Source organism: Homo sapiens, chromosome 20 (assembly GCF_000001405.40).
Source record: "Homo sapiens chromosome 20, GRCh38.p14 Primary Assembly".
NCBI classification, from domain to species: Eukaryota; Metazoa; Chordata; class Mammalia; order Primates; family Hominidae; genus Homo; species Homo sapiens.
Genome location: NC_000020.11, coordinates 44,788,913 through 44,811,322, shown reverse-complemented (window position 1 = coordinate 44,811,322; position 22,410 = coordinate 44,788,913). Strand labels below are relative to the sequence as shown.

At 50.6% G+C, this 22,410-nt stretch overlaps 1 protein-coding gene across 2 annotated transcripts in view; it reads left to right on the top strand.

Annotated features, from left to right (window-relative positions):
• The first annotated feature begins 776 nt into the window (after window positions 1–776).
• RIMS4 (regulating synaptic membrane exocytosis 4) overlaps window positions 777–22,410 on the top strand; it is a 58,739-nt gene continuing 37,105 nt past the window's right edge. For both annotated transcript variants that reach the window (NM_182970.4, NM_001205317.2), the window contains exon 1: window positions 777–1,148. In NM_182970.4, the coding sequence (NP_892015.1) occupies window positions 1,052–1,148 (97 nt within the window). In that variant the 5' untranslated portion in view covers window positions 777–1,051. The remainder of the gene's footprint in view (window positions 1,149–22,410) is intronic.

The window sequence follows — 22,410 nt, the reverse complement described above, 5'->3', positions numbered from 1 at the left end:
GAGATGATCACAGGGGGAGGCGACACAGAGTGTGTGCTGGGTCTGGGCTTGTGTGTTCATCTGAGTGTATGAATGTGTGTATGAATTCTGGGGTGTCTTTGGTAAGTGTGAATGCATGAGACTGTGTATGCCTACCTGAACTTCGTGGGGTTTTGTGGCATCTGAGAGTCTCCCCGTGAGGGAGGCCGGGCACCAGGGATGTCCTGCCTACCTCCCTGAGTGTGTTTGCAGGTCTCTGCGTGAGTCTGCGTGTGTCCGTGGACGTGTCTGTCCCCGCATCTGTGAGGGGGTGGGTCTGTGGGTGTATCTGTCCGGGTGTCTGCGGGGCATGTTGCAGAGTGAATGTGTAGGTGTGGGTGCCTGTTTGAGCTTCTCTGTGGGTGCAGGTGTGAAGCCGAGGGTCTCTGTGTGGGAGGCCGAGTGCCGACCCGCCTGGGCGGGACCCTTTGAGCGCATCCCCTCCGAGCGCGCCAGTGTCTCTGGGAGAGGCCTGTCTGGGTGAGGGACTGGACGCCGGCCTCTCCGCAAGTCGGCCGGCTGAGGGTGGGGGCCGAGGCGGGGTCGGGAACAGCCCTCGGACCAGGGCCCAGACAACCTCGCCCGGCGCCTGCCTCCCCGCGCGCACCTGCCGGGCCCGGGGGCTGCTAGAAGAGGCCGCAGCCCGCGCCCTCCGGGCTCCCACGCCCCGCAGCGGCGCCCCCTCCCCCGGCGGCACGGATTGGCTGCGGCGCCGCTCCAAGCCCGCCTCGCGCTGCCGGCGGGGGGCGCCGCGGACCAGAGCGCGCTGCGCCGCCACCGCCGCCGCCACCGCCGCCGCCGCCGCCGCCGCCAGCAGCACAGCGCGCCTCGGGCTCCGCGCGCCGCCAGCTCCTGGCCCGCCCGCCGGCCCCGCCGCGCCCGCCAGCCCCGCAGCGGAGCCTCGGCCCGGCCCCGGGCCGCCGCCACCACGCCGCGCGCCGTACTCCGCGTCAAGAATGGGGCGGCCAAGCTGCCCAAGCCGCCCGCCGCCGCCGCCGCCGCCGCGGCCGAGGCGCCCGGCGCCGGCGCGGGCATGGAGCGCTCGCAGAGCCGCCTCAGTCTGTCCGCCTCCTTCGAGGCGCTCGCCATCTACTTCCCGTGCATGAACTCCTTCGACGACGAGGACGCAGGTAAGCGCGCGGCCCGCCCCCCAGACCCCCGGGGTGTCCCGGGATCCAGGTCCGGTAGCCCCCTCCCCGACCCGTGCGCCCTCCTCCCCACCCCCAATCCCCTGGGAAGGCGCCCCCAGGGTCTCCTTCCGCACCCACGGGACCCCAGGGTCTCCAGGATGCGCTACCTTCTGGCCTTCTCCCCCAGGGACCCCGAGATTGTCTGCATTCACCTTTCCCGCAGGTGGGCCCTTTGGGTCGCCAGGACCCATCTCCCTCCTCACCCGCGCCTATTGGAGGCCCCTTGCCTCGTCCCTGGAGCCGACCTGCCACCCTCCCTGAGTCTCCTGAATGTGCCCACTCTTCAAGCCCTGGGCTTTGGCCGTCCCACCCCTGGGGCTCCGACGCGCCCCCCGCCATTGGAGGTGGCGCGCAGACCTTACCTCTCCATCTTTGTCTTGGCCACATCCAGAGGATCCCTGCCCAAGACCCCTGCCCGGCGCCCCAGGCCTTGAGCGCCCCCATTTATCTCTCCTCTCCTTCCCTCATGGGCTGGGGCTCCAGACTCCTGCTTCTTATACGCCTGGGGCAGACGGAGGGGAACCGGCCAGGTGACGGCCTTTCCTCCCCTCTCTTCCCGGAGAGAGGTGTAGGGCGGCGCCAACTCTACACTTGTCCGCCCGCTGGTGTGTGCCCCTGACCTCAGGTGCTCTTGTCCCTGGAGTCGCCTTTCTTGGTGGGCTGAAGCCGGCCACCAGCCAGCGGCTTGAACCTCCTCCTCCCAGGCCTGCGCACAACCTCAGCCAGAGCGAGGGGTGGGGAGCTGTAGGGAAACCTACTCTTTAGGGCCCTGGGACCCGGCAGAAGGAACATGAGAGCTCCGGATTTGGTTCTGGGGTGAGGAAGGGAATCCACCAACAGGTGGGGTAGCTAGAGGGCTTGGGTGAGAGTTCCCCAAAGAATGCCAGATTGGGAATCGGAATCAGGTTCCAGTCTTCATTCTCTACTTCTTAGCTGTGACCTTGGGCAAGTCATGCCACCTCTGAGCCTGGATTTCCTCATCTCTGAAATGGGGATCATCGTATCGATGCAAAGCTCTGTATGGTGTGAGGGTGGAGTTCAGTGTTTTATAAGGTGAAAATCCGAGAGTCTTTGAATTCAATGGGGGAACAAAACAGAGGAGTGTATGTGCTGGAGGAGTGTATGTGCTTGAGGAGCAAAATGGTTTCATGGGCACTTTCAAGTCTCTGAGGAAAACATGGACTATCTCTCCCGAAGTGCATATATGCACCATCCACAAAATGTAGCCTACGGTTTTAGGAAGTTCCTGGGCCCAGGTTTAGACTTAGTCTTTGGGGACCCTTGTCTGATCAACCTGGCCACCAAGGTTCCATCATGGGATGAAGTGGTGGGCATGTCTTCCTGCCCTTTCTCCAGAAGAATTTGTTGACTGGTGAATGAATGGGGATAGGTGAGGCAGATCCCCAATAGACCTGTCTTTCTATTGACCTGGAGGTGGGGATGGGGGTAAGGGTAAAGATGATTACTGCAGAGACATTTTACCATTTTTATAATCACCATTTTACAGAAAAAAACAACTGAGGCTCAGAGGTTTAACTTCTGCCTTCATGTAGCTGAGGGAGGTTGTATTATTATTCTGGACAAGGCAAGGTGGGAAGAAGTAGGGGGCTCCCCAACACAGTAGAGTGGTCAGCAGTCCACTTGGATCTCAAGAGCCAGGCTGGGCAGGAGCATGGGTTTGTAGGAGCATCAGAGGCAGGAGCGGTTTAGTTTTTCTTCAAAGTCATGCTGTGTGTCATGGGTCAAACACCTTGGTTATTGCAGGCTGCAGGCAACTTGCTCTGGTTTCACTTAAGTCAGAACAGATAACTTCAAGTAGTATTAATGATATTTTTAAAGGTCCACTCATGTTTGTTTTTTCCAGCAGCCTTCTTGAAATTCTTTAGTATTTCACTTGGAAGAGACCTAGAAATCATCTTGTCTATCCCCTTTTTGCCCGCAAATGGATGGGGGTGTGTGTGTATTTGTGTGAGTGTTTGTGTGTGTGTGACTGAAGCCCTGGAATGGGTGTGTGTGTATATATATATATATACACACACACATATATATGCCAAGGTCATCTAGTGAGGCAGCCACAGAGCTGAGACTAAAATCAGGTTTATGGTTCTCTTTCCATTAAACCAGTAGCCCTCCCTCTGAAAGAGGATTTTTAAGAAATCCAGACCTTACTGTGTAGAAAATGTTTCCCAGGTGAGGAGGCCTGGGGGTGCGGCTGGCGACCAAGAGTTTGGTTTGGGCATCTTGTGCTCACTGTCTGTTCTTGAGGGATGCTTCAAATTTGGGAGGGGGAGGGAGAAAGTCAACTTTCATTTCCGGAAAAATAATGAATGTCTGGTGAAAGTCAGAAGTAGGCAGCGTTGTCTTGGTGCTTAATTTCTCCTGTTCTCCTTAAAGTCATTAATTTTCTCCTAAAAGAAGCCTTTTTGGATTTATTCTTTTAGAACAGCACTGCACTGAACTGATTTCTAAAAGCAATGGAATGGTCTCTCCCATACTGGACACAGGCGTGGCTCTACCTGCCTCTTCTCCCCTCCCTCCCCTGGCCTTCTTAATACCTGTCTGTCTCTGCTGGCTCCGTCTCAGAAGTGTGTCCCTGACAGGCCTCCGGCTCATCTAGGAGCCTCCCCTTTGTTGCTGCTTCCAACTCATGTTGAAATGCATCTTTTTCCAACTAGACTGAGCCAGAGCCATCTTCAGAGTTTAGTTGCCATCCTTTTGCTAGTTTCCTGAGAAATGGTGTGAGAAGGAGCCTTTTTCTCATTAGCCTTAACTGGGGCAGAGCACATTCCTGATTTGGACTTGGGATCCTTGGCCATTGGGGTGGGCACAGGAAGCTGAGCCTTCTTCACACCTCTTTCTAGCCCGCCGTGGGCCCAGGATGCTGGTCATTACTGGTTCCCAGAATTCCTCTCAAGGGGCATCTTCCCTCGTGCACTTTGAACTTACTTCTTGAGATGCTCCTTTTGCCCTCTTTCACAAGGATGCTGGGGCTTTAGGGAAACATGTGCTTGGAGGCGTTTTTTTGTGTGTGTGTTTTGTTGCCCAGCCTTGTTGGCACTGGGTTTGTAATCGGGGAGGAGTTAGACACGTGGCCTCGGTTTCGTATCTGTAAGGAAGAAGAAAAATAATAACATGGACTGCATAGGGTTAACATTTTACAAATGATTACCTTTGTGCGAGACATATTCCCAGGCATTTTAAAAATATTAACTCATTCCTCATAGCAAGCCTATAAAACTGCTATCCTGTTAACATCCCCATTTTCAGATGAGAAAACTGAGGCACAGACATATTAATTCATCCAAGGTCACTCAGCCAGGAAGTGAGGGAATGAAGCCTTGAACTTGGGCAATCTGACTTAAGCATCTATGCTTTTAATCAACCATTATGCTGTTTGTGCTGTGCAGAAGTCTTAGTACAGTACCTGGCATGAGGTAGGCTCTCACTACATGTTAGCTGTTATCTATCTTATTACTGAGAAAGAGTTGTTTCTGAACATGACTGTAGAAAAGAATCTGTGGGTTTGGGGAGGGGAGAAGGCTGATTCTCAAAATGCTAGCTTTATAATTTTAATAGGCTAATCTTATTGCATCATTACAGTTATTAAGGTAGAGCTGGGCCCTCCTTCTTTGAAGTGGCTTAAACATAGGGATTTGGGAGACTCGCCTGCCAGTCAAGAGGGTGGGGAGGATTTCAGCCACTGGTTCCCTGCTCTTCCTGACCACTTCATTTGCACCAATCACATCTACAGTCCCAGCCCTGACACTCTGCCTTGGGGCCTAGCTGGGGAGCTGGGGTGTCTCAAGTTTCCAACAGATGCCAAAGGGGGTTGTTACATCAGGGTCTGGAATTGAGCCTGGTGTTCTTGAGCCTGACCAAGTGGTTTCAGCGTCCAGTTCTCCCCCTCCCGCCTGGGAGAAGGGCGGAGAAGCTGGAGCAGCCAGCTCTGATTTGCCCATAGGATGGAAGCTTCGATCCAGCGCAGGGAGGAGGTTGCCATGGCAACACCAGCCAGCTACCAGTCCCTCTCCTAGCGGTTTGGGCCACATCTCTGGGCTGGAAAGCCCTTCCTGGCACCACCCTCTTCCGCTCAGACCAAATCTGTTGGGCTGGGGGCGGGGTGGGATAGTGGATGGGATCCAAAAACTAGTACCACAGCGCCCCGCTCCCCATTTTTGGACAGAGGGGAAATGTAGGGGGTGGTCTGAGTACTTCTGGGTGATGAGGCGGCGATACCCATATCCTGCCGGACAGATCCTGGCAGGGAGAATCAGAGTTCCGATTTCTCTCCACACCCCCAGGCACCTGGAATGACCTCACTGGAGTTCTCCCCCTCCCCCTTTATTCCATTTGGCAGAGTTTTCTTTCCCAGACCAAGTGCTAACTTTTGTCCTTGAAATTTGACCTGAGCTTTTTCTGGGAAACAAAATGTCCTGCTGTCTCACCCCTTCCCTCTAAGATGGTGGGAATGAATCCTTCAGCCCTAGAAGGAGGCTGGCAGGGTGGATGAGGGAGGAGGCCTTAAAATATCCTTCATGGTCAGGACCACGTGGAGGCATGAAGTTGCGGCTTTGAAGCCTCCACTCCCACCCTCACCCTCCAGGGCAGGACACTTCCTCTCTCACTTCTTCCTGACCACACCCCCCTTCCCATTTTCTTAATGTTTTCAGAGCTGGGCAGAACTCTTGTAGATTTGGATAAGTGAAGCATGATGGAGAATTGAACCAGTTGTTCCCATAGTTCAAGTAGAGGGGTGGGGTGAGAGTGTGGACGCAAACCACTTTATTTATTTATTTATTTATTTACTTTGAGGCAGGGTCTCCCTCTGTCGCCCAAGGTGGGGTGCAGTGGTGCGATCTCAGCTCGCTGCCATCTCTACCTCCCGGGCTCAAGTGATCCTCTCACTTCAGCCTCCCAAGTGGCTGGGACTACAGGCATGCACCACCACCCCTGGCTAATTTTCTTTTTTTTTTCTTTTTGTAGAGATGGGGTTTCACTATGTCACCCAGACTGGTCTCAAACTCCTGAACTCAACGATCCTCCCGTCTTGGACTCCCAAAGTGCTAAGATTACAGGCATGCGCCACCATGCCCAGCCCAGACCACTTTATTTTAATCAAATTATCCTGAAAGAATGATCTTAGAAAATCAGGTGCATGAGGATTCACGCCTTACCCCATTGTACAGATCACTGGTCTGCAGGTCTGCTGTGGTGCAATCAGTGCTCTTTCCTTATTTTCTGTCTCCCTTAGGCACCCCCTTCCCCATCCCCAATCCCCTAGACTCCTGGCTCCAGCTTCCTCGGTTTGCAGCTGCCATAGGCCCACCTAGTTCTGTTTGGTGGGAAGGGGGAGAGAGGTCCATCTACCTTGTTTCCCTTTCAGGATGTGGCTCTGCATCCCTCCCCACTCCCTGCTAGAACCAGAGGCAGAGCAAGTTCCAACTGAAGGCTGAGTGGGGGTGAAGGGAGAGATGCGGAGGAGAGCGAGAATGGAAGGAAGCCTTCACCCTCAGCCGACCCTCTTGTCTGTCTGAGGGACTTTTTTCTACTTTGCCTCCTCTGTGTCTTTTCTTTATGGCCGTAGCAACCATCATTTCATCATGTCTTTTAAAAATTGCTGGAAAGGTGCCACTTTTGGTGAATGTGCTCAAAAGGGTGAAGTATCTCCCCCACTATAAACCTTCTCCCATTCTGCATTCCTCGTCAGTTCCACTGCCTTTTTGTATTGGAAAGATACCTGGGCTTGGATTTGAATCCGCTCTGGCTCTGACCTCAAGCAAGTCTCTTAACCTTCCTGAGCCTCATCTGGAAAAAAAGGGTTAATTATTTTTGTTCAAGCATCTCTCAGGATTATAAAAATAAAATGATTGATGGGCTTGCTTGGCCATGCTCATTGCTTTCTGTGATCGCACTGAATTCTATGGCAACCTGAAGGGGTAGCTGCTGTTGCAGATGTACCCATTTTGCAGATGAGGAAAGCCAGGCAGCTTAGAGCAGTTGAATTCATGACTTTCTCAGGTTATAGGGTGGTGATTCAAACCCAGGTGTGTTTGACTCTAGGCCATCTTCTGCTTCTGGGCATGAAATGAGATCCTGGGTGGGACAGGACTATGTAAGCTCCTGGGGCTGTGCTTGTGCTGTCAGAACAGCAGGTGACAAAGGCCTGGGTGTGATGTGTCCCACCAGGGTCCACCACCCTGCTACAATCCACCCACCCATTGGAGTGCCTTCCCTGCCACTGGTTCCTGGTTGATCCCTATCACAGTTGGCCCTCAGCTGCCGTGGCTGCCTGGCCTCCTTGAAGAATCCAGTTGTCTGCCCTGGCCCTGGGGGCCAAGCCATCACCTGCCTCTCCAGACTGATGTAGGCCAGTGCTGGATTATATTTAACGCTGTGCTATTTCCACTTGACAGCTCCAGAGCGCCATCCCCCCTCCCCTTTTTTCCTTCCTCCCCCCTCCCCTTCTGATTCACTCGGAAACTGAGGAGGCTGATGTCAGCGCCTTATTCTTAGCCCCCGTAATTGTAACTGCATTTAGCAGTGCGCACTTCATTAACAGTTTCTGCAACGGGGGAGTGAGATGACTGTGTGGCTGGGCAGGGATGTGGATGGGGGTGGCGAGAGGGCAGCTGCTGCCAGGACCCTGGCCAGCTGCCTTCTCTGGATGGACCAGCTGGGCTGCTTCCAGGTCTGGCTTTCCAAGACTGGAAGTCTTGGAAGGACCCTTGGAGAGCATCTAGCCCATTTCCTCATTAAGCAAGTAGGGAAACAGGCTCAAAGAGGCGAAGTGGCTTGCCAAGGTCACATATTAAGGATCCAGAGCTCTGACCTCTGAGTCCAGGTTTTCTTTTCTGGTATTTGTTCATTCAGTTAGTAGTTAATGAGCTGCTCAGTGTTAATGTTCTAGGTGCTAGGGTGCTAGGGATATATCAAGGAACAAGTCAGACATGGTTTCTGCTCTCAGGGAGTTATATTCTGGGGTGGGGGAAACAGACAATAAATAGGTAACCAATTCAATAAAGAATTTCAGGTTCTGCTAAGTGGAATGAAAATGGAACGATGATGGGCTAGGAGATAATGTTAAGTAAGGTAGTCAGGGAAGGCTAAGGAGGTGATATCTGAGATAAAGCCTAACTGACAAAGAGCCAGCAATGGGAATATGAGGAGGAAGAGTGTTCCAGGCAGAGGGAATAACTGTGCAAAGGCCCTGAGGTCAGTGCGAGTTTGAGTTTTAGGGAATAGAAAGCAGACCAGTGTGGCTAGAGATGACAGACCAGTGTGGTTAGAGAGACAAGATCAGAGAAGGGGGCAAATTATCTCAGCCTTGTAGAGGATAAAGATTATCTGGTGCGGGAACTGAGGTCCGAAGAAGGAAAAGAAAAGGCCCCCAGCTGGGTGAAGTTAGAGAGAGGCCAAGAACTCATGCCCCCTGAATCCCTGTTTTTTATGTTCCTTAGGCGCAGATGGCTGTGCCTTTACATGCATAACGCAGCTTCCTTTCACGCTGTAGCTGGAAGGCACTGTGGAGTCCAGGCTGGGTTCTTTCTGCTCACCCTGCCTGCCTCCACCCCTCTTCGAATCTCACCTGACCCAGACTGATGATGTAGGTGTGAGAGACCCTGGGGAACTTCCATGGACGGACAGAAAGAACATAGCTTTGGAATCCGGCAGATCTGAATTTTCATCTTGACTGCCACTTCTAAATTGTATGACTGTAGGCAAGTTGCTTCAACCCTCTGGGGTTCAATGTCCGCATCTGTAAAATGGGGCATAATAATAGTAAATACTCAAGAGGGTTATAGTAAGGAGTAAATGACATCATGCACACAACACACCTAACCCAGAGCTGGACGTATGGAATAAGGTGTCCTTTGCTATGAGGATTAATGGATGAGAGTGCATGTTTAACCCTCGGCACATAGTAGGTTCCCAGTCATTGGTAGCAGCTGCAGTTGTCACAGTGGCTGTTGTCAGTTTAAATGGGTTAGAGCAGGGCCGCCAAACTTGAGTGAGCCTCAGAATCCTCTGGAGGGCTTCTTAATGCAGACTGCTGGGCCCACCCAGAGTCTTTTATTTAGTTTGGGGGCAGGAGGGACTTGAGGATTTCATTGCTAACAAGTTCCCACGTGATGCAGATTCGGATGGTACTGATCCAGGGACCCTACCTTGAGAACCACTGGGTTGGAGGAAAAGGCTGGAGAGAACTGAAGGGGTCTTGCCAACGTGGGATATCTCCTGGCTCCTGATGTCTTAGATGCTGGGACACTGGGTACCAAATTCAGTCCTGGGTATGGTCTTCAGGCCCTCTTGTTTCTGTCACAGAGTCTATGATCCAAATGAGTCTCAGCTGCTGCCTGCGTTGTGCCAGGTTTAACACGTAGGCCCTCATAAAGCCTCTAGGAAGTCATTTGTACAAAGGATAAGTGAGTCAAAATGAGCAATGCATCAGGCCATGAGACCATTGCATGGGATATTGGACCCAGACAGCTCTGGGAATTCTGAGGATTCAGGTCTAGCTCCTTTTTCGTCCAGAGAGAACAGGACATGGTCCCTTTTCTGCATTGGGAAAAGGGAGGGCTATGTGTTAAAACCAGGAAGTTCATTTGAGGACAAACCTCTACTGGGAAGAAGTAAATCAAAGGAATCATCGATGTAAAGGGGGCAAAGTGCTGGGAAATGCTCCCGGGGGAGTTTACTGAGTCAGTTTATTCAGATGTTTCTAAGAAAGGGGTCGCTGATAATTTTCTAGGGAAGATTGGGGTCTAGCTCAGGTTGGAGGCAGGGGACCAACCTTGATGTGATGAGATTCTCACCCAGCCCCATACAACTCAGAATCTGAAGACAAAGGCACTTAAAAATAGTTTCCGGGTGGGACTTGTCCTAAACTGATGGGAAATACCCTCTGTGAGGGGTGGCTTGGGATAGTAAAAATGAGCGGACTTGGGAGGCCCAAAGACCTGGGTTTGCATCTCTGGCCCTTTCTAGCTGTGCATCATGACTGTGGTATGTAACTGATCTAGGCCTCAGCCTGTCCTTTGCAAAATGGAATTAGAGATACCTTGTGAGAATTCCAGAGGATGTATGTACAACACATAGAAGACATCCAAGCTATGGAAGCTGCCGCCTTTCCTTTTCCTGTAGACTTCATAAAAATGATGTGATGTGCACATCTGGGTGGAGGAAGGGTGGGATGGGGCAGCACACAGCTGGCGTCAGGCCTCCTCGCTCTGGTCTAGGTATGTGGTGTTTACTGTGTGCACAGTGGAGCCTGAAAGGCTGCATGAGGAGTGAAGAGAGAAGGACTTTGTTCATCGCCGAGTCTCAGTGTCTCCTACACCCACTTTTTGACTCTTTGGGCCTCAGTATCCCTGCCTGCAGAGTGAGAGGCTGGTGGGCTTGGTTTAGATATACCCAGAGTCTCCCAGAGAAGGTAGGACACTTGTACAGGCCCTCCAGTTCCTCCTTTGTCTCCCCCTGACTCTGCGGTAGCCCCTAGATGGTTATTTTTCATCCCCAGAGCGCCCCCTCCTGCCAGTTTCTCTCTAGCTGATCTTTGCTTGATTGGTCTTGGATAATTTTTAAAGTATTTTTTTGGATTAGGTAATATATGCAGATGCTACAACATTTTAAACACATGAAAAATATCCGGGGGAAGTGTCCTGGGCACCCCTGTCTTCTGATCCTCATGTCCCATCCCTGGTACAAGCACTGTTATCAGCTTTTATAATGCTTTATGCTGTTATTACTGCTGATAATGTAGATACATCGTAAAAAAGCCGAACAGCACCAGAGGACATCCAAAGAAATGGCATCTCCCTTCTACTCAGCTATCCAGTCCCACTCCCACAAGCCACCATCACACTCTTTCAGGCTACCAGTTTTTTCTTATTTTCCTGTTTTTAAATTCTTATTAAGCACTTATGGTGGTGCCCATCCCTGTGCCAGGCACTGTGAGAGTTCCAGAGAAGTTGGGTTGCACTAGGCAGTATAGCATGGTGAAAGTAACGAGCTCCACAGCCAGATAACCTGGATTTGAATCTTGGCTCTGCCGCTTATTGGCTGTGTGACTCTGAGCAAGTCACTTAACCTCCCTGAGCCTGTTTCCTCATCGCAAAACGGGCTTATCATAGCCCCATCCTGCCTCGAAGGTGTCAAGAGGATTAGATGAATAAATATTGGTAGAGAGCCTGGTACACAGTGAAAGTGTCTTAAGAGTGTTAGCTGTCATTATTTTAGTTGAAAGTCCCTCTGAGGTCATCTACTGTGGCTATCTTAGTTGAGGCCCAGAGAGCAATCTCAATTGGCCTGAAGCCTCACAGGAGGTCTGTGGCAATGATGTTTCTGGATACACAGCTCAGGATCTCTCCCTGTCCCCTGAGGCACCCCAAGTAGCCATCATGGACCCTGCGGCACCTGAGGCCTCAAGTTTGCTGCCTTTATCTCCAGCACTCAGTGTCCCTAGTGAACGCCACCTGGAGTCACCCTGAGAGTGGGTGGAAAGATATTCCACCACACTCACTGCACTCACTAATTGGGTCCTCTAATGAAAATTAATTAGTTCCTCAGCAAATGTCTTGAGCAGCATCTTTCATCAGCCTGGGCCCAACACCAAGACTGGACCAGGTGCCTCCGGGGCCCATCCAAGCCCTGGCCGAGCCACCCCCGAGCCATCTGGCCTCAGGAAACTTACCATTTGTGCCCAGCTTCTACTGGGCATGCTAAGTCCTCGCAGAGGGACCCCCAAACTGGGCAGCTGGGCCCTGAGGGGAGTCAGGTGTGTGGCTCTAGCAAGGGATAATTTTTTTTTTTTCTGAGATGGAGTCTTGCTCTGTTGCCCAGTCTAGAGTGCAGTGGCATGATCTCAGGTCACTGTAACCTCTGCCTCCTGGGTTCATGTAATTCTCCTGCCTCAGCCTCCTGAGTGGCTGGGACTACAGGCGCGTGCCACCATGCCCAGCTAATTTTTATATTTTTAGTAGAGATGGAGTTTCACCATATTGGGCAGGCTGGTCTCGAACTCCTGACCTCAGGTGATCTGCCCACCTCAGCCTCCCAAAGGGCGGGGATTACAGGCATGAGCCACCACACCCGGCTCAAGGGAGAATTTAACATGTACCTTCTTCTCTGGACTTTCCCCAGAAGTCACTTGATTTTGTAACGAATACAGAAAATCAGGAGAACTCTTCACTCCTGTTTCCACTGTCTTAGCCTGAGAAGTGGATTTTTGTGCAAGTGCTCTGTGGGAGTGCTCGCAGGTGAAACCTGCAAGAGAGGGAGAGGGAGACGCAGCATGGGGCAGGAGAAGAAGCAGCCAGACATGGGCACTTGGCTGCAGGCTAACTTCAGCCAGATCCTGGGGAGCTCTGGAGAATGGATGGCATGGCAGGGTTGACTAGGCTTCGGTACTCCTATAGCAGGGTAGTCCCCCGAGGGCATAACTGTTGGGGCAAGGCAGCTCCTATGAGCTAAGGGCAGTTGTCCAAAGATGGGGCAGCTGTGAGCCGGCACCAGCAGATACTCATGGCAGCTGAGTGATGGGGGACCTGCTTAGCATGGGGGATCTGGCCAGGATACCAGTGGGGTCCACTCACCCACTGTCTGGGAACCCCTGACTACAGAGTGGGGAGAGTGGGTGTGCTCAGCTCTGTGCTCAGCAGTGTCCAACCCTCGTTTCAGGTCACCCTCCACAAGGTGGGCATAGTCATTACATTCGGCCATATGGAGAAATTGAGCATCTGGATGGACTTCTGACTTGGCCAAGGTCATACAGCTAGTGAGGGGCAGAACAGGACTTCAAACCCAGGCCTATTCCAACACTTGTGTTCTTTCCAGCATTCTGTACTGTATTTAATGTTTTTCATGAATATATACATGTATCTCATGCTTCTTTGTGGGCCTCTTTCCAAGTCCCTCTTTGGAGGGTGCCTGTCCTGACTTTCTACTTTGCACCTTGCAGACATGAAGTCTTTTGTGTCTGACAAAGGATTTTAATATATTTGAGCCTGCCTGATCCTCATGAAAAGTTGGCCGTGTATCCAGAGAGGAGGGCAGAGGCCCTAATAGGTGGCCTGAGGTGAAAGCAGAAGGGGTAGTTGATTTGTCGTGGGATGAGCCCTGGATTTGTCATAAAGAAACCTGGGTTTGAGATCTCATTTCTGCCAGTTTGCCAACTGACCCTGGGCAAGTCATTCCCCTCTTTGAACTTTGATTTCCTCATTAGATGAACAGGTTCACAGCTATAAGCAGGAGGTAACCTACAGGTGGTTTAATGATACTGCACATATCAAAGACACATGGCAAGGCTCTGACTGGGGAGTGCGGGAAGGGTCTCAAACCAAGGCTGACCTCTGCCTTTGCTGAGGAGACAATGTGTGTGCAGGGAACAGCTTTAAATTAGGGCTCGTCTGTAAAATGGGCATGATGACACTTGCCCTGCTCTCCTAGTTTAGGTTTTCCCAGAACAGAGCCTGACACAAGGAATCAAGTACAAGTATTAGGGCAAACCACCTGAAACTGCCATTTTATTAGTGGAAGCAGTCTAATAGAATTTTGTATGCTTCATATGGTTCACAAAGGTGATGGATGAAACCCCAGGATGGGAGTGAGAAAGTGAGGCAGAGAAAGAAGTCAGGAGACTGTGTATTATCAGGCAGGTTAACCCAAGCAAGGGCAACTGGAGTTTAGTCTTGCTGGGGACTTCTGGGGAGACAGTGTAGCACAGAACTCAGCAAGCTGCTTCTGTAAAGGGCCAGACAGTAGATATTTTAGTCTTTGCAGGATTACAGTCTCTGTTGTAACTGCTCAATCATGAAGTTGTAGTGAGAAAGCAGCCCCAGACAATATGTAAATGAAAGGGTGAGCTGTGTTCTAATAAAACTTTATTTACAAAAATAGGCAGCAAGATGGATTTAGTCCGAGGCCCATAGTTTGCAGACTCCTGGGGTAGAACACGCGCTTTAGTTATCCCACCCAGGAAAGAGGGAGCTCAGGTATTTATACAGCAGTTCCCATCAGTAATTGGTTAAGAGCTGCTAGGGAAGATCAGAGAGTTGGTTATTGCCTGTTTATTTCCAGCCTGCCATGGGTGGTAGCCCTCAGGCAGAGAAATGCAGGTGCTGGCAATAGGAGACTGGGCTAGGACAAGGGGTTAGGACATGAGGAATGACAGCATTGCTCACTCCAGCTCAGAGGAATGGCTTGTTTGACTATTTGGAGAATGTACTAGAAAGGCACAGGATGAACACAGGAAACAAGTGTTGTATAGAGCCAGATTAGTTGACTTCATATTTACAGCTCTTCCAAGCATTTGTTCCTTCCAGGCAAAACCCAGCTTCTTCATATTTGACAGTCTTGTTTGAGTTTTCTCCCTCCATGCCTCACTTAGGCCATTTCCTCAGCTGGGGTGCCTGATGTCTCCTTCTCCAGGGCTCCAGGGTCACCTCCTCCAGGAAGCACACCCTTCTTCTCTAGGGTGGAGGTGACCATTCCTGGGAGCCCCTGTGGTACTTTGCTTTTCTCCTTCTCCTGTGCTTGCACAGTCTGGCTTTTCACTTTTTCACTGTCACACTGTGAGCCCCTGCAGGGCAGGGACTGTGTGATTCCCATCTGCATCCCACCAATGGGCACTGACTTGGGAAAGGCAGAGTTGAATCCCAAGCCCCTCCCTTCCTCCCCTTCTCTCTCCTCTCCTTCCTCCCCACTCTATTTCCTTCTTTCTTCTCCAGTAGTTGCTCATGGCCAAGCTGTGTTCTGGTGACCTAAGGCAAGTCCAGTCTTTGTTGTCATGGAATTACATTCTGGTTCCTGGGGTGAGGGGGGTTGTTGGACATTACACAGCTTGAAGAAGCAACTAATAATCCGATCATGCCTGTGATAAAGAGGCATATAAGACAAGTACAGGGTGCTGGGAAAGGCCATAGCAGGGAGAACTGACATGTTGGGTGGGGGGCACAGGGAGGGGGACAGCTCAGCAGAGACCTGAGGTGTGAGTAGCGTTGGCCAAGTGAAGGCACGGCAGGGGAGGGGAGGGGGTGAGACAGGATGCTGTGAACACAGACTTGATAGTGATGGGAAGGGGGATGGAATCCTGGACTCTCTGGCTGTCTCTCCCGCTCCCGCTCCCCTCTCCCCACAGATGGAAATAACTATAATTGCTTCTGCATGACAGAATTATGGATAGTTTTTGCTTTCTAGTTTGTGCTTTTTTTGTATTTTCCAGATTTTCTACAATGGGCATATCATGGTAAAAATTAAGGGCTTCAGAGTCTGGAGACCACACTCTGCTTAGCTGCTGCGTGACCTGTTCCACATTATTTTTCACTTGGTGGTGCTTCTGTTTCTCTCTGTGTAAAAGGCCGATACAGATAATTACCATGGCTCACATGGCACCCCTTGCATTCTGACACTTCACTTCCATTCACTCATTCGAGCCCCAAAACTACTCTGTGAGGTTGTTTTGGGGGCTATCCCTATTTTTTTTTTTGGAGATGGAGTCTCGCTCTGTCTCCCAGGCTGGAGTGCAGTGGCACGATCTTGGCTCACTTCAAGCTCTGCCTCCCAGGTTCACTCCATTCTCCTGCCTCAGCCTCCCAAGTAGCTGGGACTGCAGGCGCCCGCCATCACACCTGGCTAATTTTTTGTTTTAGTGGAGATGGGGTTTCACTGTATTAGCCAGGATGGTCTCGATCTCCTGACTTCATGATCCGCCTGCCTCAGCCTCCCAAAGTGCTGGGATTACAGGCGTGAGCCACTGCGCCTGGCTGGCTATCCCTATTTTATAGATGAGGAAACTGAGGCACAGAAACATTAGGTAAGTTGCCCAAGATCACACAGGGTCCAAGGCAGAATTCAAGTCCAGCTCTTTGGGCTCTGGAGCTTCGCCACTTGGCTCCATTGCCTACCTTACAGGGTAGGGGTGAGAGGACACCTGTGAAGCCCTTAGCACAGTGCGTGGTACATAATTAGTGCTCAATAAATGTTAGCTCTTGTTAGTATTAGCAGTTGTGCAGGGGCCCTGAGGCAGGAGTGGGCCATGGTCTTTTGAAAGCCCAGGGAAAGGGGTATGTTGTTGGGAGGTAGCAGAACTGGATGATACTAGGCCTTTAAAGGTGAGGCTCTTGGGCTTGAGCTTAAGGTCAGTTGGAACCCCTCTTGGGTTTTTAGCAGGGATGTGACAAACTCAGATTTGGGGTTTGCCAATCTTTAAATACCTCTCTGGCCGCAGGCAAGGAGTGAAGCCAAGAGACCCAGAGATGGCTCCCTTTGGTTATAGTGGCTCTCCCCAGACAGATCTGACCATCTATCCCTAGTTCTCAGGCCAGGATAGTGATATCTCCTGGTGTCTGGGCTGGCCACGTGGGCCAGTGCGCAAGAGACAAAAAAAGTCAGCAGTGTGGCACCAGGCTGGTCTGGTGATGCCGGGAGGCTGGGAAGTGCCGGTTTGAAGGCAGGAACAAATTACTCTCCTGGAGACAAGGCCAGGCCAGTTCCTGCCGTGTTACATTATTAAATTTGTAATCTTCATTCTAATACTTTCCAGCAGTGAATAAGAACCAAATTTAAAATGCCGGCTTTATATTTCTGGAACGAAGCTCTTTGTCAAGAACTCTTGAAGCCCATAATTTCTCTCCAGAGGTAAATGTCTAAGTCTTTAAAAAATTAAAATAAAAAAATACAGGAAAACCGCTCTTTAGTTAAGGCTAAGTTTGAATGGTTGACGAACTCAACCCTGGTCAGGAATTGGGAGTGGGGTCTGAATGTCTCCAGCCCCAGAAAAGGCCCAGGCTGGGATGGGGCCTACAGATGCGACTCCTCAATCTGAGCCTTGCTGGGGAAGAAAGCGAGAGAAGCTTCATGCCTACCTCACCCCCAAGTGGTTGGTACATCTGTTGATTTGGGAAAGGCTTTGGTAAAAATTGGAGACCACAGTTCCCAAAGGAATCACCCCTTATAAACCTCTTGTGAGTTTTCTCATGACCCATTTGGTGAATATCAGACCTGGCTGGCGGTAGAATTGGGTACTGTCTCATTCCTGCCTTTATTTTTAGAGACAGGGTCTCACTCTGTCACCCAGGCTTGGAGTGCACTGGCTCAGTCATGGCCCACTGAAGCCGCAAACTCTTGGGCTCAAGTGATCCTCCTGCCTCAGCGTCCCAAAAAGCTGGGACTACAGGTACATGCCAGCCTGCCCAGCTAATTTTATTTTTTTTGTAGAGACAGAATCTCGCTATGTTGCCCAGGCTGGTCTTGAACTCTTGGGCTGAAGCAATCCTCTCACCTTGGTCTCCCAATACACTGGGATTACAAGCATGAGCCACCATGCCCAGCCTTCATTTCTACCTTTAGACCTGGGCAAGGAGGGCCCTGATCTCAGGTCGCCAGCATTACTGGAATGTTCTCTGACCCTCCTCCAGTCAGGCCTCTGGCTTCACTCTTATTACCCACCTGAACTCCTCCTTCTAGGCCTGTTCTAGACGTGGGGACCCTGAAATTCCCTGCCCAAATGGCCCTGAGTCAGCTTTCAGGGTCTGTCTCAACCCCTTCCCTGGCTTCATTCTCCTGAGGATGGATGCATCCATCAGCAGTATCCTGAGGGTGGCCCTGAAGGTGCTGTTTGTGGAGGCGACAGCCGGCACAGATGTGCAGAGTGAGCCCTCTGGATATGGGAGCAGAGGGAGAAAGGGTGGACCATGGCTGAGGGTTGGCTCCCTCCCCCTCCGCATTCATCTGTGGCACTTGGAGGATTCTAAATTTGAGCTGTCCTGGCCTTGAAGGTCATTATGAAGACATATTTGTCAGAATGAAAAGATAGAACATATTTTATTTAATAGCCTGATTTAAACTTTTACATATTTAGAATAAGTATGAAGTCCTCCATTTGTACTCCTGCCCTGGGCCGCACAATCTTGGAGGGGCCTTTGTGTTATCCTTAGAACTGAGAGTGAGCACAGCCCAGGGTGGCCCTTCCTCTCGTGGCCCCATAATGAGGACCTGGTCCAGACACAGCGCTTATATGGCATCCTTATGCAAGTTAGAGGAAGGCACTTCTCTCCCTACCCCCATCCTGGTGGTTGAATTTTAAAAACGCTGCCTCCTCTAGGAGGATGAATCAGAACAAGGTTCCCCTTTCTCCAGTGCCAGCAGGGTGCACGGCTGGGTAAGGGAAAACAGGCTGTACCTCTGCTTGTGCCCCTTCTCAGTCGGGCATTTTTGTGCAGGGAGCACTCTGTCCGGGAGTTCTTCTGACCCCACAGACCCGAACCAGATCTGAAAGGAAAGTGCTGAAACTGGTTTCTGGAGATAGCCACCAAGTCATTTTACATTTTTAATAATCATTCTCATTATGATAGTAATATTTATTATTTCATATATGCCAGGTATTCTGAATACTTTACCTGGATAATCTTACTGAAATGTCAGACTATGAGGGGTATACCATTGTCATACCCATTGTGCAGATGAGGAAACTAAAGCTCAGAAAGGACAGGCCCATCTTTGGCCCAGGGCCATTCAATAGTAAGTTCAGGCCGGGCACGGTGGCTCATGCCTGCAATCCCAGCACTTTGGGAGGCTGAGGTGGGTGGATCTCCTAAGGTCAAGAGTTCAAGACCAGCCTGACCAACATGGAGAAACCCTGTCTCTACTAAAAATACAAAATTAGCTGTGCATGGTGGCACATGCCTCTAATCCCAGCTACTCAGGAGGCTGAGGCAGGAGAATCACTTGAATCTAGGAGGTGGAGGTTGCAGTGAGCCGAGATCACACCACTGTACTCCAGCCTGGGCAACAAGAGCGAAACTCTGTCTCAAAAAAAAAAAAAATTATAATAATAAATTCAAACACTGACCTGCCTGACACTCGAGTCTGTGAGCCCACCCACTGCTCGGCACTGCCCTGGATCATATTTTACAGCATTCTTTATGCAGTCAACAGATATCACTGGCCCACTCCAGTGTGCTGGGCACTGAAGTTATGGTGCTAAATAGGACCAGGACTTTCTCAGCCCAGGAGGAAAGACAAGCAGAGCAGATAACGGTGATTCCATTTAGCAGAGAGTGCTGAGTCCCACCTTGAAGGGTGAGAGGCTGATTACTAGGCTGGATGTGGGGAAGGTGCCCCAGATCACTGGGGTCCTGTGTGATTAGGAAGAAGGTTCCTGGGGTTTATTTACGTCTCAGTGGGGCAAAGCAGGTACATTAGGAAGTGGACACAGGGAAGAAATGGAGCTAGGAAAGGGGGTGGGTGGGACCACGATCAGCTCCTTCTTGGAGATCTGAGTTATAGCATCATCGTCAGGCCTCTGGGGCCTCTGCTTAGAGGAGCAGGACTTAACATCCACCCCTTACCACCATCCTTTTCAAAGTCAGAAAACTGATCAAGAGGAGAAGGAGTCATTTGTGCATTTTCAGGCAGGTCGAGTTGGAACTCAGGCCTCTCAGCCCTCCTCAGCCAGCCATGATCCAGTCCCTTCTCAGGGCTCCTTCCACACCCGGGAGTGGGAGAGTCGCCATTTGTGGTTTTAATTTTTAAAAACGGTATCATGCTTTCACGAGTTACAAATGCTTGTCCAGTTATACTAGCTGGCATTTCCTGAGCACATGCCACATTCCAGATGCCGTGCTAGGATTTCACATATGTTACCTTATACAATCCTTGGAGCAAACCTCTAAGAAAGGTTCTGTCGCTATTCCCACTTTACAGATGAAGAAATTAGGTAATTCCCCCAAGGTCAGACAGCTAGCAAGTGGCAGAGCTGGTTTCCTTGAGTCTAACATCCTCATAACACCGTATATGCTATGTGCACCCATGGTGGCAATTTTGGGAAAATGCAGAGAAAGCACACCAAAAGAAAATTAAAATGTCTCAAATTCTATAATCCAAAAGTAGAATGCTTCACCACTAGGGCTATTTCTCTCTAGGGGGTGTGTGCGCGTGCGCGTGCACACACACAACACATATTTAAACCAAAGCAGGGTCATGCTGTAATACTAGTTTGTAAGCTGAAGCTACCATTTAAAAATCACCTTAAAAGGACCTTCACAGGCCAGTCTCCACAGGGATACTCTGATTTCTAGGATCAGGTCTAGAACTGCGTGCAACTCTTCTGTCAACAGACTTGGCAAGGCAGACCTAGGGACAGCACGAGGCAGCGCACCCTAATAGGCATGGTTCATTTTTGTCCCTGCTTTCTGCTCCCGTTCTTATAGAAAATAAATAAATAAATTTGAAAACTGACAGACCTCCCCAGGATTTTATTCTATGCCTGGCCCTGCATTTAAATGCAAGAAGCAGAAGGCTTGTGAGCTATAAATAGCCCAGGCCTCTTCTGAACAGTGGCGGGGAGAATTTGTAGGTTCTGTCTCCTTCCAACCTGGTGACCTGGATTACTTCCTTCCTGCAGCGGCTGCTTTCTTCACTGCCTCCTCTGTCCATCCTTCATGGAGCAGAGCAAGTCCTCTCTGCAGATGTTTAGTGAGCACCTGCACTGGGCCAGGCCCTAGGTGCTGGGCACAAGGACTTGAGTGAGACACTAGCATTGTCACAGCCTGGAGTGGCAGCGGGTAAACATAGACGCGGACATTCACAAGTGAGAATCATATCTGTTGTGGGACCCCAAGGAGAGGTCCCCAGCTCTGGGAATCAGGGGAGGCTTCCTGGAAGAGAGGATGCTGGAGTTGAAAAATGGAAGGAGGGTAGAGGAGCCTGGGGAGGAGGTAGCCTGGGAGGAGGGGTCTATGGGACCACAGGTGTCATGCTTGGCACAGTGCCTGGCCAGAGCATGCCTTCATTATTATTGGGCAAATCATATGTTTTTTAACAGTGTGTCCTGAGTTCCTTTAGTGGCTCCGTGGCCTGTAATCCAGTGATCTTGGGTAAGAAGGACACTCAGCATTTTGCTAGTCCATGACTCTCAACCTGCGCTGCATGTGCCTTTCGTCAGCAGCCAGGATCCTGATCCCCAACCCAGACCACTCAATTAAAAATCAGGCGTGCAGCCTGGACTCTGTTGCTTCACAAGCTCCCAGGCGATTCTGATGTTCAACCACATTTGGGATTCTCTGTGCTGATCCAGTGTCCCACCTGGGGACCACAGCTCAGTTCCCATCCCAGTCTCCCTGCTGGGTAGGAGTTTATTCTCCCTTGGGTGCCTCTAGCAACAGGAAAGAGAGCTCACAATCTCCCCATTCTGTTGACAGGCAGCTCAACTGTGGAAAATCCTTCTTCTCCCTGGGCCCATTAATCTTCACATGTTGGGCTGGGCACAGTGGCTCATCTCATGACTGTAATCCCGGCACTTTGGAAAGCTGAGGTGGCAGGAGGATTGCTTGAGGCCAGGAGTTCCAGCCCAGGCTGGGCAACATAGCAAGACCACCATCTCTATAATAAATAAAACTCAGCCAGATGTGGTGGCGTGTGCTTATAGTCCTAGCTGCTCAGGAGGCTGACGTACGACGATTGCTGAGCCCAGAAGTTTAAGGTTAAAGTGAGCTGCGATTGTGTCATAGCACTCCAACCTGGACAACAGCAAGGCCCTATCTCTCAAAAAAATAAGAAATTCTCATATTGTGATGACGGGCGGATCACGAGGCCAGGAGATTGAGACCATCCTGGCTAACATGGTGAAACCCTGTCTCTACTAAAAATACAAAAAATTAGCCGGGTGTGGTGGCGGGTGCCTGCCGTCCCAGCTACTCAGGAGGCGGAGGCAGGAGAATGGTGTGAACTGGGAGGCGGAGCTTGCAGTGAGCCGAGATCGCTCCACTGCACTCCAGCCTGGGTGACAGAGAGAGACTCCGTCTCAAAAAAATTATAATAATAAAAAGAAATTCTCATACTGTGATGATACTGGTAAGTGACATTTGTACAGACCTTTGTTGTACACAAAATGCTCTCTTGATTTGGGAGGTAAAAAATATAGAGATTTTAAATTCAGACAGACCCGGATTTAAACCACCCTCTCCCTTTTTTTCTTCTACCCTGTTAGCTGTGTCTTTAAACACATGACATAACCTTGCTGTGTCTCGGTGTCCTCATTTGTAAATAGAGACAATAACAGTGCTTACCCCTCAGGTTATTGGAAGGCTTATGACACTAAGTGTGGTTGGGTGCAGTGCAGCCGTAAGGCATTCACTTCATAGTAATTTATTATTATTACTGTTCTGTAAGACATTTTCATGGTAAATTCAACATCCAAGACATTTTT